General features: G+C 36.4%; 1 protein-coding gene across 4 annotated transcripts in view; it reads left to right on the forward strand.

Annotated features, from left to right (window-relative positions):
* SLC26A7 (solute carrier family 26 member 7) overlaps window positions 1-18,745 on the forward strand; it is a 188,660-nt gene that overhangs the window by 166,785 nt on the left and 3,130 nt on the right. For 3 of the 4 annotated variants that reach the window (NM_001282356.2, NM_001282357.2, NM_052832.4), the window contains 3 exons: window positions 13,058-13,158; window positions 17,517-17,571; window positions 17,656-17,759. In NM_001282356.2, the coding sequence (NP_001269285.1) occupies window positions 13,058-13,158; window positions 17,517-17,571; window positions 17,656-17,759 (260 nt within the window). Of the gene's footprint in view, window positions 1-13,057; window positions 13,159-17,516; window positions 17,572-17,655; window positions 17,760-17,937; window positions 18,439-18,745 lie in introns of those variants that run through there. The other variant, NM_134266.2, reaches the window with a different exon arrangement.

An 18,745-nucleotide genomic window follows, 5' to 3' on the forward strand; every position in this document is an offset into this window, starting at 1 on the left:
GTCAAGACACTCTGTCTTTTTGTACTGCAGTAGTTCTTTCACTGATTCCTTCTCATCTGAAGGAGCTCTTGCTTATTTTTGAATTTTATATAATTTGGATGGGACTTTTACATTTTTCACTCTTTTTTCCCTTGAGGGTATACTGCAGTGTATGTGTTTTACAATCTTTTGGCTTCATTTCTGGGTGCTTTCAGGGCAAGTTTCTGCATGAGTTCCTTGGTTGTGGACAGCTTCTGTGCACTGGCTTTCTCAGATGCTGCCTGTTGTAGTGATATATCGAATGTAAGAGCCAAAACAGTATCTTCTGCAGGGCTGAGGGTGCAGAGATCTCAGGTAGCTTTTCTTCTGCACTATCACTGTGTCCTTCTGGCAGCAAGTTTTTATTTTGTGGGGCAGTTCAGGCTCCAGTCCAGTAGGTGGTATTTAAGACTAAGAGCTGGCTCACTTCCCAGGAGGCTGATGAGTGGAAGCACTCAGTCTCACGGGAGGATGGCAAGGGGAGATCATGTTGGGCTGTGAGTAGGTCTCCAGGGAAGGGGCAGTGGGGCGAGCACCAGATTCTCAAGCTGAGCTGGCAGGAATGCAGTTTACCTCCCTATCGCACCCCTGCCTCAGGACTCATGACCTTCAGTTTATATAGACTTTGTCCTTTGGCTCATGGCTGCAAAGTGGCTGCAGACTGTGGATGAAGCCCTCTGTCCACTCCCACTAAAACCAACTCAGGGCAGAGCCACCTTCCCCAGTCCAGAGCAGACAACTCTGTAGCTTATGTCCTCCATTGCAGGGCTGCTGCTGTTCTGTATAGGAAGGAGAAGGTGGTCCCTGCTCATTGTGCAATCCCAAGCAGGGAGGGTTCACTTTCAATAGTGGTGGAGCTGCCATGAAAAGCACTTTCTCCAAGTGCTTTCCTTCACACATACCAGCCCCCATCAGGGAGAACCTCTTCTGAGTCTGCAATAGTGGATGAGGGGAGTGGGACATGATCACCTCTCCATGTCTATTCCTGGCTGCTGGTGCTGCCCCCTTTCAGTGATTGGTACCACATCTACGTTTCCTTTGTCCCAGGGGGGCTTTGGTGAGCTGAGTGCCCACCCATAGAAGTGGCGGAAAGTTAGATCTCCAGAGGTCTGAAAGCTCCCCTGGGACCCACTGGTCCTCTGCACCTGCCAAAGTCAGAGCGGGTTGTAGGAGATGTTTGCGGGCAGTCTGGTGGCGCAGTGACTCAAGGACAGAGAATCTTCTGGCAGGGCAGAAGTCCACCATAGGTGCAGAATTAGTATGGTGCCATCTTAGCTTAGATCTGAGGATAGTGAGGGCACACATGTGTGAGCTGGTCACCTGGTTCTTTGACCCTGAGAAGTTCTCAAGTTGCCACCAACAGCATTGCACAGTCACAAGAGCAGAGGGACACCCTAAGAGTTTGGTGGTCTGCAGATTGTCGATTGTCACAGGGGTGAGGGGAACAGAGAAGCACCCCCACCTATGTTTTCCGTGAACTCTGAGTTCCTCGGCTGCCAGTCTCTCAGACTTTGCTGCTTTTTAAGTGTGTGCAACCCTGCTTCCTCCATTAGGATTTTTGACAGGTACTGGCTCTCTTCCCTCAATATTCCATTTAGGACATGCCCATTCACCAAAAACTTTGACGTAGTTTTTGAAGAGAACTGGTATCTGATGTTCCTAGTTAGCCATCTTGAAAAAAACGAATTACAAATATTTTTAGAAAGCAAGAATGGCATGGTTACTGCCTTATTTCTCAAGTCTTCACTATTATTCTTTTCCCATTGACTGTCTCTTTCATTTAACATTATTTCCCAAAGAATTTGGTATTTGTTACTATTATGGCTTTATCACTAGGCACAAAAACTTAATAGATGGTCAATTAATGAATAAATGGAAAAAAGGGAGCAAACAAGGGAGGGAGAGCAGGAAAAATGAAGGCAGAATCACTGAGGTCCAAATCATTACCTAAACACTTGTTAGGATTATATAAGGTCATATGGTATATAATATTAACATCACTCCTTGGTAAGAGAGAAAAAGAAACAAGAAATAAATGAAATATATAATTACATTATAATGTATAATTATATATTTATATAAATAATATATATTATATATAATATAAAGTATATATAAATAATATATATTATATATAATATAAAGTATATATAAATATATAATTTTATATGTATTTATATATTAAATTGATATATTTATTAGGTATATATATGTTGTAATAAATGTGAGAATGATTCAGAAGCATCTTGCTAAAGGTCTGGGAAAAGGGGAAACTAGTCTGAAGAACTTAATTAGGACTATCATCTTTGGCTGAAGATCTGGTTGGACATTAAACTTGGGCTGTTGTGTTCTCTCTCAGATACCAGCTAGGAGAGCCCCGAGTCTTACTGTCTCTCTCATGACCATACACTGGGTCATTATACAAGTTTCAACACATTTCAAATAATGAAAATTATACAGGCAGGTTTCTGTCCAAAATTCAGTTAAGTTGGAAATATTTAACAGAAGGAAATTTACAACAAAAATATAACCCCAAAACTACCATATATTTGGAAATCTGTAACAATTAAAAGGAAAAGAGGAAAACTCGTATCATTCACACATGAAATAATTGTTTATTTAAAATATAAAAATAATACACTATATTTGAATTAATAAGAAGTTAAAAGTTTCCTGTAATTCATAATCAATATAAAATCAATTGGTTTCAATATACTAGCATCAAAGAGAAAATACATAAAAGCTACCATTTACAGTATCTTTAAAAAAAATCAAATCTTAGAAGTGAATTTAAATAAAAATGTATAGACCTACACAGGATGAAGGTGTACAACTTTATTATGAGACATTAAAAATACCTGTAGCAAGTAAATATTTATAAATAAATGGAGGGAAGCACAATGCCCATTGATTAGAATACTTGATATCAAAAAGCATAATTTCTAAAACTGATTTATAGATTTATATTTAATATCAAGTAAAGTTACAATAGAATATTTTAATGGCTTTTTACAAGCTTATTTAAATTTTTAAATAAAAATGCAAATGGCCAAGAATAGTCAAGACACTTGAAAAATATGAACAAATGAAGGGTATGTCCTCTTAGCATCAAGATGTATTATAAAGCTCTAATAATCACTGCAGTGTAGTATTGGATCAGAAATAAATAGGTCAATATGACAGAGTAGAGAGTTCAGAGGGGGAAAACCCTCACATGTATTGCAGTTTTATTTATGACAAAAATGGCACTATAGAGCAATGGGAAAGGACAGTCTTGATGATAAATAATGCAGAGACAATTATGTATCTATATGAATGAAATTAGGCCCCTAATCCACACCATACCACACATATGTATGAGGTAGATCAATCTCAATATAGTAGACAAAATGTAAACTTAGAAGAGCATATAGGAAAATATCTTAAAAGACCTTGGAATAAATAAATTTCCTTAAAACAAGAAATATAAAGCATTAAGCATAAAGAAAATGATTATTAAACTTCACTATATTATTTTTAAGAACTTTTGTTTACCAGAAGGTACTATATAAAACATGAAAAAATAAGTCAGAGTGGAAGAAGATAGATGTAACTTATAAAATGCAGAAAGGACTGCTTTCTACTACAAATCAACGAGTAAAAAAAGGCAAACAACTCAGTAGAAAAATAAGCAAAAAACATGAACAGGCATTTCACATAAAGGGACATTTTCTAAGTTACCAAAATATATACATATAGGAATATGCTTGACTTCACTATTATTATTCACAGCTATTATTGGGGAAATGCAAATTAAATAACTCTATATGTATGATATTGGTCAAAATGGAAAAATCTGACAATACCAAGGATTGGTGAGGATATAGGGCAACAAGAAGTCTCCTACAAAGTCGGTGGTAGTATAAACTCTTACAAGTTGAGTATCACTCATCTGAAATGTTTATGACCGGCAGTGTTTTATATTTTGAATTTCTTTGGATTTTGGAATATTTATTTATGCATTATAAGGTATCTTAGTAATGGTACCCAACTCTAAACACGAAATTAATTTATGTTTTATATACACCCTATACACATAGTCTGAAGGTAATTTTATACAATATTTTAAATAATTTTGGGCATAAAACAAAGTTTGTGTGCATTTAACCATCAGAAAGCAAATGATGTGGACAATCATCTCCGGTTGTTTGGCATTACCATCACTCCTGACTGAATTTATATGCTACTAATAAGCTATCATTTTCTTACATTTATTCCCATGTAAGTACTGAACAGTAACAATTATGACATACCATTAAGATAGTAAAATGATGTGTTCAAGGTAACTTATGATGTCATGTTGACATTCAGAAAGTTTTGGATTTTGGAGCATTTCGGATTTTGCATTTTCTGATTACCATCTGTGCATCCACCTTGGAAAACGGTTTGGCAATGTCTTATAAAGTTGAAGATACACATATCCTGTGATCAGCAATTCTGCTCTTAGTTGTACATCCTGAAGAAATGATAATTTATGTGCAGCCAAGTACACACACAAGAATATTCACAATAATATTGTTTGTAACTGTCCAAACCTGGAAATAACTCAGGTGTCCAACTAAAGCAGCAGGTATGTATAAATTGTGACATATTTATACAATTGAGTTTTTACTTAATATATTTGTTATATGTTATACTGACATAATAATGAAAATTATATACATCTTATAAACAATGTTGGGGAAAAAAGCAAGACAAATGAAAACATATAGTAAGGTTCTAATTTCATTCATATAAACTTAGATGAATAAAAAAGCTGAATTATATTAATTTCTGCACTTCTAAGACAATTACAAAAAGAATCTCTTAATATTTGTATCTGGAGGAGTTACAAGATTTTTCATAAAATTGTTTATTAATTCCCCAAAACTGGAAATAAGCAAAACACCCATTAGCAGTACAATGGACAAATAATATGTAGAATGTTTTTGTAAGAGGATAAAATACATAGTATAATATCAATTGAATTACAACATATAATATGTTGTAAATCAATATACAACATAATAAAATAGAATATAAATATATGAATGAACTGCATGGACCCACATTAACATGGATGCATCTCAGATGTCAGCTTTTCTGGTCTTTTCTAGTTTATTGTGGCAAATTTACTTTTACCTGCCTTGTGCTCTCAGAGAACACTTATGTAATACTAGAATAATACTTACTTAACTTCTTGAGTGCCTTGCTCTCTTTCTGAACTGAAAAATTTTTAAGGGAGTTTCTTACTTCTGCATCCTGACCAGGCCCACTTTGCACAGAACAGTAGCTGATGGGCATGATCACCTTTGCTGGGTCCTCGTGAAACTCTTTGGTACCCAGTGGCCCTTCGATACTTGCCAGACATAGTTTATCAGAACACTTCTGACATCCTTCTTCTCTCCCCTCCAAAGTTTCCTCAGTCCTCTTATCTCTCTCTCTTGTTCAAGTAACGCCCTGCTGTACTCTCCTATGCTTTAAATGCTGAGGTTATGTGCACTGTGCTTATTTTTTATTTCACTTCTTAATTTAATCCCTAAAACCTGTAACTTTGTTTCATTACCTTTACATTTTTACTTCTGTGACTCTGATTCTGTCCTTAATTATGTTTGAAATTAGTATTATCTTCATATTGTTTTTTATCTTATGCTATGAGATAGGCTTTGTTGTATTCTATAGATAGAAAATACCCAGTATGTATGTGCATACCAGACACAATAATAGATCAGGGCATTTTTTTCCTATGAGTCAAAGTAGCCTCAGAATCCTCTCAACATGTTGTTGTAAGAAGCTACTACAAATGGAGTTTACATGCAGCTGAGATCTAATTGCCATTCCAGCTTTATTTCATTCTGTGACATAATAACAGATTAATGTTAAATCACTTCTACTTTAAAAAATCCATCCTGTTCTTAATAAATTATAATGGTTTCCTTCTGAGGATCAAGTACTACTCCCTAGCATGGCACCTAAAAGGCTTCCTTATCCTTTCAAATTGCTTTCCTTCTTACCACACATTATACAAGCTCTCCATCCCAGCCAGACAAATCCATTTATGGCTCCAACATCTAACTTAATCATTTCTGGGTCTAAGCCTCTATTTGGATTCTCATAACTAGAACTATCTCCCTTTTCTTCCAATCCAAATTTTATACTTTTTCTGAGGTTTAATAGAGAAGTAAAATATATTGAAGGTACACACTTCTTTTCAATCTTGTTAGGGAGAAAAAAGTCAACTAGATCTGTATGGAAGAATTCTCAGTCAAGTGCAGACTGGGATTCAGTATCTTCACCTATAAAGTGGAATTCATAGTAATAGTGAAACAGAGAAATTACCACATGCTTTAATCAATCACATATTGCCTATATGGTTATAGAGTCATTTTATTTATGCATATTTTCCTCCTAACTAGATTTTAAGGTAAATAATGCATTTTTAATTTCCATTGTATTATCCTTCATTGTCCAATGAACAAAATGTTTGTATAGCAATTCACAGGACATTATTCTCAATAACTAAAATAGGTAATAGGCAAACGCTCTACTCTTCATTTTAAAATAATTAAAATAATTACAAGAACACTCTTCATTTTACTGATGAAGTTGAGGCCCGTATGGGAGACTTAACTTGCTCTGGATCATGCAGCTAGTTAGGGGTAGTAGAGGCAGGACTTAAGTCCCTGTTGAAAGTAGGCTATATACATGAAAGGGGATACTTAAAATTGAGATTCAAGAGGATTGGTCTAAATGCAGCCTGCATGGAAGGAAGCAAGAATGATAGGGCAATAATAATCTAGAGAAGAGGAGTGAAGTTTCTATCTTCCTCTTCTTTGGTCACCAGGTTATGAAAATGGAGATGAAGGACTCAGAAGAGATTTCAGCAGTGTAATGAACACCAGCTGGAACTGTTTGGAAGTTGGAGTAAGGGAGAGAACAATACAAATGATGATTCTGAAACTTTGAAACTCTCAAACTGGGAATAATAGGGAAGCCAGGAAAACAGCTAAAAGGAAAAGTGAGTTTAGGTAGGACAATGGTAAACTTAAGCTAAATAAAGTCATCCAGGAGACATCAAGTGGGTTTTGGGGACTACAGAATAGATCTAGAAGTGATTAAAGGAAGAAAAGACATAAACTGAGTAAGGGAATGGGCAAGAAGGAAGAGATTTAAAAATAGCCCTCTCCCCTAAAAATCGTTTCAGAAGGAAAAGATTTGTAGTTGAGCGCATGATAGAATAATCAAAATATATGAAGCAGGGTTACATCAATTATGAAGTGGAAATCATGCTATTTCTCTTAGTAAAAATACAAATTTCTCAATTTTTAGAGACATCTTCCATTACCACTTTTAGTAGTTTGAGTCTCCAAAACACTTCAGTCAGTTTATGTCAATACGAAGAGGCACTCTGTTGAGGTCTTTCTGAGCATTATGACTTGCTGGGTCTACCTCCACTGCCTAGTCATCTACTTAACTTCCAATCATTATCAAGTCTCAGCTCACACATCACATTCTTCCATTCACTCCTGCATTAATTCATGCTCTTGTTCACTCAGTTAATCTTTCTTGTACATATTGAACATCTAATAAATCCTGGGCACAACAATGAATGCTGGATATTCAAGGATGAAGAAAGTAGACATGAATTCTGCCATCATAGACCTTGAAATCTAAACAAGTTCCCACCCTTATTACTCATTTCCCAAATAAACAATGCAGGTATATTAGTTTCCTGTTGCTGCTGTAATAAATTGCCATGAATTTAGTGGCTTAAAACAGCACGGATTTGTTATTTTACAGTTCTAGATGACAGAAGTCACTGAAATGAGTCTGGAGATAAAATCAAGTTTTGGCAGGGCTGCATTCCTTCTGGAGGGTCTAGAGGAGAACTCATATCCTTGCCCTTTCCAACTTTCAGAGGCCATCTGTATTCCTTGGGTCATGGCCCTGTCCTCCATTTGCAAGCTGCCAGTGTGACATCGTCAAATCTCTCCTCTCTCATCTTCAAATCTCAGAAGAGATGTGGTCTCTTCTGTCACCACATCTTCTCTGACCTCGAACCTCCTGTCTCCTTGTATGACACTGGGCCTACCTGAAAAATCTAGGATAACCTGCCCATCTCAACATCCTTAAATTAATCAAATCTACAAAGTCCCTTTTGCCATGTAAGCAACATATTCGCAGTTTCTGGAGATTAAAATGCGTGCATCCTTAAGGGGCATTATTCTGTCCATCACACAAGGTCTCCTTCATCTCCATAGCATTTTCTGCCCATCTCCAGCCCTCATCACACTTTAATTTACTAGTTCAACTGACTAGTTTCCCTACCTGATTGTGAGTCTGTTGAGGGCAGTGATTACTGTCTTCCTTGTTCATCATTGTACTTAGATTTTCTAGGACAGTGCTTAGAGTAGGCACTCAATACATCTATATTAGCTGACTGCTGGGAGGAAGGAAGGAAGGAAGGAAGGAAGGAAGGAAAGAAGGAAAGAAATGTTCAATAATATGTGCACGTGTTTTCCAAAGGCAATGCTGTGGTTTGTCTTCAATATTTATCTTCTTATTTTCTTGAGAAATTCAAGATATAAATCTGCTTTTCAATAGTTAATTGATATCAACAGAAAATACTTTCTTTTAAAAAATTATGAGTTACTCACAGACTGTCAAGAATCTTTGAAGTATATAAAAAGCACTCTTAAATTATGCAACTATGAATATTTTTTAATTAAAGAAGTTAATGAATATTCCACAGGAGAGAGCTGGCTTCCACAGTCTGGAGTTAATTACCCACCCACACCTGATGGTTAATTTCTTTCTGAAATGTTGTTTTTGTGTAGATAAAGCCCATCATTTACCACATTCCACATGGGTATAGATTAGTTGTCTCCTTTGCACATGCTCCAAGCTTACCTCATTTTGCTTAAGGCAGGATATTAGCTGTACATTCACTTTACTCTTTTCTAGGATTATATGATTTTTATTGCTCTGGTTGATTTCCTTAGGAGTATAGAACACAAGGTTATAGCCATAAAATTAGTGCAATGGCAGAACTGAAAGGATACTGTGTAAAAGAAAACTTCACTTATTTTTGGAAAAATGTTAGAAATGTCCATTGTATTTAAATTTTCATTTGGGTGAATGGGTAACTTTACCATTAAGACTGTGTTTTCTCATTTAGAAGAAAATCATGAATTGCCTCTCTTCAAATAGCTTACTTAAATTATTATCCACAACTATAAGGCATAAGCCTGTTGTTTTGCTTTACTTTATTTTTATTTTTGGATGGCCTGAAAATATACAAATACTTCAATTAAAGGGATAGCACAGAGGAAGTTGGATAAAAAAATAAAGACGAAGCAAACATGGCATGAACACACTCTCAGACAATGGAAGGGACATTTTAAAATCACTATTGATAAAGCCCCAAACACTTTCAGAGTTAATAATCTATCATCATGTACATTATGAGATAATTACAAGAAAATAAAGGAAATTGCAAGTACAATTTAGAAGTGAAATATGGTAGGATAGAAAAGGAACAAAAACTTGTTTAAGAATTTTCAATACCTTTTAATCACCATTTTCTAGTCAATTAAATGCAGTTATCAATCTCTCTAAGTAACATATACACAGATTGTTTTTCACTGTAATTTTTTTTAAGTTCAGAATGACAAATAAGTTTTTGATCAGCTAGTAGTGGCTTCCTGAAGCACTGAATTGATGGAAATTGTAAGGTCTTGTTTGAACTCAGTGGAAAAAAATATCAAAATTCATTAGCCATGTTTGCCATGGCTGTGGATAGGGATGATTGAACTCATGTCAGACAGTTATAGATAATAATTTATGGAGCATCTTCCAGGAAAAGCAATGCATTGAAATATTTTCCAAATAAAACAACTGCTAATATTCTTTCAGATTACAGTTTCTTTCTAGCAAGCCTGTCTTATAGACATTACTATTATGTTTGGTAGTAAATAAATAATAAGGCTTAAATATCTTAGAAAAATTCATAATCTATTAATTCTTAATATTTAAGTTAAATATGAATGCTAATTTTTTCTACGGAAATTTTTGAACAAATTTTAGATTGCAGATTATTTTGAAATATGTACTATTTTATAAAAGAGGTATCATTTGGTAAAAACAAGTAAGTGGATAAAAAAGGACAAAATTTGACATCAATTTGTGTCATCATTGTTATTTTAAGATGTATTGTCAAATATGTCAGTGGTTTAAGTCTTTCATTTAATCAAAGCCATTGGATTTTTAAAACTTACTGATGATTTTCTTTATATTTAATAAGAGTACCCACGTTTAAGCAGTGATATGCTGGTGAATAACAAATGATTCTTGGAGTGGGGATATAAGGTCGGATGGTGGAGAAGTTCTGATCTGTAGCATTTGCCAATTTCCATGGTGTAAATATTTCTACTATCACTGATTTTAAGCTACCAACATGCTGTCATTAAGCATGGAAGATATATACACAACTGACTTTCAAGAACTGGCATCATCTGGCCCCAACTCATTACTGACTTTAAAGAAACCATATAAATTTTATTTTCTAAAAAAAGTTTGAAAAAGTCAGTGTAAGAAATCTTCAAATATTAAGCTCCAATATACATTGTAAACATGATTAGTCTTACTAATTTTTAAATCTTACTTTGTAAGAAAACATCTAACTCCATTATATATATTTTACCTATGTATATTATATAAATTTTTTATGTTTTCTCAGAAAGTTTACCTAATATTTAATTGTTAGAGATTTTTATACTGTGAAAATTTAATAGAACATTTCCAAAAATGCATTTATGACCAGTCAACATTCCACTGTTGATTAGAAGAAGTACTCTCTGCATAGAGTATTTTTCTATTTCCTGCAATCTTAATACTTTCCTATCTGTGATAATAAGCCAGGGCATATTATACCTGAAAATATAAATAAAAGCCTCTGCATTAGTAGAGATAAATCTTATGTTTAATTAGGCAAATAATGAATGATAGTGATTACAGTTGAGTGGTCAGTAGATGAGCTATGTTGTGGCTATTTTCAATTTTGCTTGAGGTTCTAGTTTACCATTTCAGGCCGAAGGAAACATAGCCTGAATGTCCACTAACCACTTAGCCCCCCTTGCCCTGGGAACAGCAGAACAGAAGGCACTACTGGAGTACCTGGCATATAGTTGGTCCTCATTAAATGGTTGAATGGGAGCAGAGGGAGTTTGAGATCTTAAGCTGTCATTAGTGTTTGATTAAGGCTGTCCACATGGTTAGAATGCATACACGTCTACATTACTTCTCCTTTTTGGAATCAATCTGATATATCCTGCAAGGCTGCTTTTTGCATTAAGTCTTCCCTGATTACTCCAAAGAGACTACTCTGTTTTGTAAATTCACATTTTTATTCATTTTATCATTTTAATCATGTCATTTATATACCATTGCTATCCTTGACACTCAAAAGTATTATAAGCTCCTAAAGAAAGGAATAAGACCTCACTCATATTTGTTATCACCCACTCCTTAAAAAAATTACTCCTTAAAAGTTACTGATTATTTAGTGTTATTATCCACTCCTTCTTGAACATAGTACAAACATAACATAGTTATTATTCAGTTAAAGCATGTTATTGGATTAATATAAATACAGATCTAAAGATGAAACTGAAAACCAAGTCTTATACCTGACTACCACTTTTCAAATACATAGAAATTACTTTGTAGCATTTCTCCTTTTCCTAACAGTTACTGTCATATATAAATTTTCAGTGTTCATTTTTTATTTTACTGCTTTTTTTAAATCTGTAAGCAGGATTTTTGTTTTTTTTAGAGACGGAGTCTTGCTCTGTTGCCCAGACTGGAGTGCAGTGGCACGATCTCGACTCACTGCAAGCTCCACCTCCCGGGTTCACGCCGTTCTCCTGCCTCAGCCTCCCGAGCGGGATTTTTTTTAGTCTCGCTCTGTTGCCCAGGCTGGAGTGCAGTGGCGGGATCTCGGCTCACTGCAAGCTCCGCCTCCCGGGTTAACGCCATCTTCCTGCCTCAGCCTCCCGAGCGGGATTTTTTTTTAGTTGCACTATTTCCCTCATATTTTCTCCCAACTTGAGAAAGAACCACAGTCCCACTTTTATGTAGCCACTATACAGAAAAACCTTGAACATTTTAAATGGCAACGCTATTTAAATTAAGAATTAATTTTTTCAGAGAATTTCATAATAATTAATGAATTTGAATTTAAGTGATAGACTTTGCCTACAGTGGTGGGGGAATCAGCATATGTGATTTGCTCTGAAAGCCACATCACTCCTCGGAGGGACCCCAAATGTGGCCTGTCACTGTTAAGAAATAGGTCATATCATGTAAGGAAATCGTGGCCCTAAGAATATCAGTCAAAAAGAGGTCATGAACTCCTAAGTAAAATCTTGTTGTTTTCATCAGGTAGATTCAGAGGCCGATTTACTATGAACCGAATGAAGCTTAATTTTCAGGGCCTGTCATACAGATCCCTTCCAAGGCTGTGGGACAAGCCCTAGCAATGGAGTTTTTTTTTTTTAGAGTGATTCCAAAATTGTATACGCTTCAGGCACCACAAAACGGGGCTCTACTCCGGGCATACCTACTAAGGAAACATTGTGATATTGTGGAAAAGGTACTATTCAGAATGTCTAGAGACTTTGCTTCTGTCTGTGTTTAGCACTAACTTGCCAGATATTCTTTAAAAATTATTTAAACTTTTAAACTGAACCTCAGTTTGTCCATGTATGAAATGATACTGGTAATTAACCTATTTTGTCTTCTTCTTTGAGTCATGTCATAATCACCTGAAATTGCATTCCAGTAATACAAAATCAGAGAGTTCAGGAATAATTAATAATTTACTGAAAAATGTAAAAATTAAAAGTGTTTAGAATTACTGTTGTTAAACATGAGGCCACTGTTACCCTCCCACCAGTCAACAAAGCCAGCAGCAGAAGTCTCTTAAAACTCTCCCTAACTCAAGTCTCTGTTTCTCCTACAGAAGAAGCTTCACAGTCCTGCCCTAATGAGAAGTGTTATTTAATCCTGGATTGCAGTGGATTTACCTTTTTTGACTATTCTGGAGTCTCCATGCTTGTTGAGGTATTTATGGAACTTGTGTTTAGAACTGTTTCTTCCCTTTTGTTCAGTAACAGGGGTTTTCACCACCTTCTCTCCATAGTCTTGAGCCTGCTTGTTGCAATACTCATCTCACCCCATTATTTACAAAGGACGTAGAACTTTGCCTACCATCACTGTAGATTTGTTTTCAGGAGATCCTATTCAGCTTCTAGTTGTATGTATGTGTGAGGGTCAGGGATCAGAATATTTGCATGGGGTAGTCAGAGAGAACAGTACATAGACTTGAGATACAGTGGGCATAGGAGCTCCTAGGCAGTCAATTTACAAGGATTCTAGGAAGGAGAAAAGCCCATTCTAGAGCACAGGCTGCATAAGTAAGTGCCTTGATGATGGCAGGAGGTTTTCTCTTACATCACGGTTGGGTACAGTTTGGCCTAATATCATTTCTGGTCTCACAAGTAGTGCCCAATGCAGGGGCTTTTCTCTGTTCTCTCAGGCAATGGTGCTTCTTTCTCTACCCTGTGATCTGCATGTGGTTTCCATGATCCAGGTATGCAAAAAATAACACTCCACTTATGGCTTTAAAACTGACATAGCTTCCAAACCTCATTTCCACAGATGGAAGAACACCTAATTTTGCCAATTCACAGAAAACTCAGGCACTTCTAAGATTTTTTTACCTCCCCACCCGCCTTTTTTTTTTTTTTTTCTGAGACGGAGTCTCGCTCTATCGCCCAGGCTGGAGTGCAGTGGCGCGATCTCGGCTCACTGCAAATACAAACTCTGCCTCCTGGGATCACGCCATTCTCCTGCCTCAGCCTCCCGAGTAGCTGGGACTACAGGCACCTGCCACCACGCCCGGCTATTTTTTTTGTATTTTTAGTAGAGACGGGGTTTCACCATGCTATCCAGGATGGTCTCCATCTCCTGACCTCGTGATCTACCCGCCTTGGCCTCCCAAAGTGCTGGGATTACAGGCGTGAACCTCCTTCTTTTTTTAGTAAATACTAAGTCAACAGGGAATTCACCTTCTTTCTTATTTCTTTTTGTTCTTTCCCTCAATACCCTGAATTGGTGGTGGTGGGACGTCTTGAGGGTGGGGCAGCATCTGTTCTTTGGTTTCCCCAGTCTTCTGCCAGCTTCTGAGCCTGTGAATCGGCTCACCTCATCTTCAGGTGTTTACTTCCCAGAGGTTTTCTTACTCAGACCACCTAGAGCCTCCCTGCGTGGCTTGACATTGAGCCAAATAATTAAAACCTTATGGAAATTTCTAGAGTTCTTTCCTCACCATTGATCTCTCCCTGAGCTCTGGTTGTGTCTGTGCAGCTCAGGGAAGCTGCCACATTTTTAATGGGTCCCCCTCATCATGCCAGGACCCAGAAACTGCTTTGCGGCAGAAAGCTGCCATGATCGGAGGGCTCACCCCATTTGTCCACCTTTCTCAGGAAACTCAGCCACCCTGTGCTGCCCTGCCTGGTGCCGATTGTCTAAACATGGTTGTTGTATATTTTTGTCCAGTTGTGTACTTCTTTGTGGAGGAGGGGATAGTCTTGTATTAGTTACACAGCATGGTCAGAAAGTGGAAACCAGACATTGACTTTTAAAGGATTCAGATCAGAATCCTTGAAAAGGTCTCATGTTGTGGACTGGGATTGTTTTCTTGTGGTGTAGCATACCTTGTGTCTCTATTCATTTATATCTTAAATTTACTTTGAAATGTCCAGCCTTTCAAACTCAGGATAGTACAAAGGTCAACATTAGTGTTGCTTTCCTGTGAAGATACGGGTGGGAGTGTGTGTAGGGGAATTGCTTAGTATGTGGAAGTCACAGCATAGTCCCAGCTGCATCACACTAGCTAAGGTGTGGGGGACATCATCTCACTTCTCTGGATCTCAGTTTATTCATTTTGTAAAAATGAGGCAGCGATTTTGTTTCAGAATTGGCAGATATTTCGAAAATAAAGAAATAGCTTAAAACAATTGAAGTTTAAGTATCAGAGGCCTGAAATCTAGTGGCTATTTTTAGCAAGTCGCCCTTTCTCCCCACCGAATATATTTTTATTTGCTTGTGGTTCACTATAAAACCTTTTCACGGTTGGACTTAGGATTCAACCTGAATACTTCGTGTTTTCTTCTAGCTGAACCTAAATTGTAAACACATGGTTCCTCTTCACAGGAGGGCCTCTTGTATTCGGCATTTTTATTTACTCTATGTTCCTAAAGTCTACAAGAGTCTCTTATAATTGTGTGTTTAAGGCTCTTCTGAGGTGCTCATTGAAAATGCAGTCTTCTGGGTTCTGGTTCTGACCTAGGAGCTTCATTTTAAACACCCATAGGTGATTCTGATGCAGGGGGCTCAAGGATCCTATTTTGAGAAACACTAGGATTTTTTTTTTTTTAAACTGGGAAAGGCCAGTATGGTTTTTGTTGTTGTTGTTGTTCAATTCCATTTTAAATTGGTTTCTGAAATTATTAGCTTCCTTCTCTAGATATTACAAACAGGACTTAGGGTTAATAAAGAAAGAAGGAGAAATGGTTACCTACTCCCACTGAGTTTAGGATCCATGGCTGACAATTCAGAGAAATTCAAACAATCTTGGCACTGGACATGTTGAAAAAAGACTTATTTTTCATCATTCATCTTAGTGGTTTTAAAGATCTGTACACTGGAATGACAGGATCAATCAACTGATGCAATTTATTTTTAAATTGGCATAAAATGACATTCCCTTAGCCAGGTGTGTTTTATCTATATATACAAAACCAGCAGTTTTGTATCAGTTTGCCCTTTTAAATTTCCTTATTATTCCTATTTTCTTTATTTCATTATGGTTACAGTAACAGCGTGATCTATGTTAAGAACATAGACTTTAAAGATAGACTAAGCCTGGTTCCAAATATCATCTATGTACTAGTTCTGTGATCTGGACTTAAGTGTTTACTTGCTTTTCGGTAAACTGGAAGTGGAAATACCCACTTCATCAAGTTGTTGTGAGGCTTAAAAATGATGTATTGCATATAAAACACCTAAGAAAGTGTCTAGCAGTTAGGAAGAACTCAATAATGCTAGTTTCTGTTATTTTTTCTCATTTTAAAAATGTCATTTCTGAAAGTGTAAATAATATCATTGCATATTATTTCTTAGTTCCAGCCACCATGGAAGAAGGTTCAGAGTAAACAGCCACAAGGACTCTTCAGCCCTGCATGCCTTCATGCTTTCTAACAACACTCCTTGCATTGTTTTCTTAGTTGCTTTAGCATAAGAAACGTTCTCTTGGGAGTTGTAGGTTGAAGGAAGTAGGCTGACTTCTCTTTGTTCTTTTACTTGGGACATTGAGGAGGTCAGTGAACTGGAGATTATATTTATCAGCATCAACAAACCACCCATAGCAATGTGTTTATGTTTCACTGAGTTTAAGAAAGAGTGAAACACTGGGAGGTCACCTTGAATTAATCATTTTAACTTGCAAAAATGGGAGCCATTTATTCAATGGCAAAGATGCAGTCCATGCTTTTTGCTGTTTTCTCATTTATGCTTAGTAATATATCTCCCATTATTTCACAATTCTTCTCACATAGAACTTCTTACTGCTGGAAGAATATGAATGAAATTTTGAATGTACAATGCACACTATTAGAATATATTGTAAATGCACCTTTCTATATTTTATGTGTCAGATACATCACTGTTATATAACGAAATCCATCCTCTGGTAACTAAAACGCCTAAATTTACTTTTACAGAAGTTCATAGACTGACTTTGATTTGGGTGAATTTAAGATCAGAGCCTTTAATAAGTTGTTTCTGCTTGAGATTTTCTAGGACTTAAAAGAGGCAAAACTCTTAAAAGAGGCCAAACAAATGAATTAGGATCTCTCATCTTGCATTCCTTTTAAAATGGAAGTTGGGTAATCAAACTTGGCTTGGATTATAGTGAGGTTCTCAATTTAACATTCATGCACCGGGTTTGTAGAGCCCGTGAATATATCCAAATTATTGTAAAATATTAAAGCAAGCAGTAGGTCTGCAGCTTTCTTCACTTTCACAAATGGGTCCTTGTCTTCTATTAAAAGAGGTTGAAAACAATTTTATATCATTCTTATAGGGCAGCAGAGGCACTGTTTTTACTTTTATTAAATGATGTGGAAAAGGTAAGCAGTCAAATTTAGTTGCAATAAAGGTAGATGCCCTGCTGTATTAATCTTAGTCTTTTAGACGCTTGCCAGATTATGCCTGACTGTGTAACAATGCCTCCCTCTGGTGGTTTGACTTCGTAAACATCGGCTTTAAAGAAAGTTTGATTTCTTCTGAAGCCCATCTTATTTCCTCCTGCTGGCTATTCTGAATTAATTGTGGGTATCCTATTTTAATTCTTCCAGGTTTACATGGACTGTAAAGGCAGGAGTGTGGATGTATTGTTAGCCCATTGTACAGGTAAGAGAATGTCCCTGACTAACGTTGAATGTGATTTTTCTGCACTTCCACATGTATTCTTATATCACTTGTGCTTTCTTGAAGCTTCCTTGATAAAAGCAATGACGTATTATGGAAACCTAGACTCAGAGAAACCAATTTTTTTTGAATCGGTATCTGCTGCAATAAGTCATATCCATTCAAATAAGGTGAGTTGATTAAGTTGGGCTGAAGGAGTTATAAGAATATTCAGAATATAGAATCGAAGCTTTGCATCTTTTATATTAGCTTATTACTCCATTGGCATCTAAAATCTGTTAGCCCCCCACCCCACCCCACCTCAGACTTTCTATTACAGGTAAAAGAATGTTTCCATTCTTTTTTTAGGCCAGTTATAAACTGTTGTTTGATAACTTGGATCTTCCAACAATGCCACCGCTCTGAGGATTGGGTGGTTGCCTATCATTTGCAAACTGCTTACTTGTACAACAAATGCTTCTTCCAGGATCTACTGTCCTGGGGACTTGAATCCACCTTTCTCAAATATAAAAACTCTAAATATGGCCTTTTAAGTTTTTTCTGCTCTGATATCTTGCCTCTAAGCTTATATTGCCATCTTTGGAAATACTATTTGTAGAATCTAGTGCTCACATGATCTGAAGTGTCAAAGTTATTTTACAAATGCTGGGCTTATGGTTTAGTTTTACAACTGTTCTTAGAGCTTTAATTTCCTGCAATTTTTCCTTGAGTTTTGAATTGTTTTGCCTTTCCTCACCCCTAGAATAACATTTGGTGCCTCGCAGAGTCATCCCTATTGTATACAATCAGAACAGTATGTATTTACAAAATAATAATAACACTATTATTATTAAATCTAACATATATTGAGTGCCCTCATTATATTCCAGGAATATTCTAAAAGCTTTACTATGTTGTTTAACTGAATTTGCCATGACCTTATGAGGTAGATATGATAATTTAACCCATTTTTAGAAACAAGGAAACTGACCAGGGAAATTACACCATCTGTAAGTGGTAGAGCTGGTTGCAGAGTCAGCAGTTTGAGTTTGGACCTGGAGCTTTGAACTGCTCTACTCTGATGCCTCATAAAAGGTTCATTTTCTTTGGCTTAGCTGGACAGCTTGCTTCAGTTACTACTGTTCTTTTACTTTGGTACCAATTTAAGAGTTGAGTA

This window comes from Homo sapiens, chromosome 8 (genome assembly GCF_000001405.40).
Source record: "Homo sapiens chromosome 8, GRCh38.p14 Primary Assembly".
In the NCBI taxonomy this organism is placed as follows: domain Eukaryota; kingdom Metazoa; phylum Chordata; class Mammalia; order Primates; family Hominidae; genus Homo; species Homo sapiens.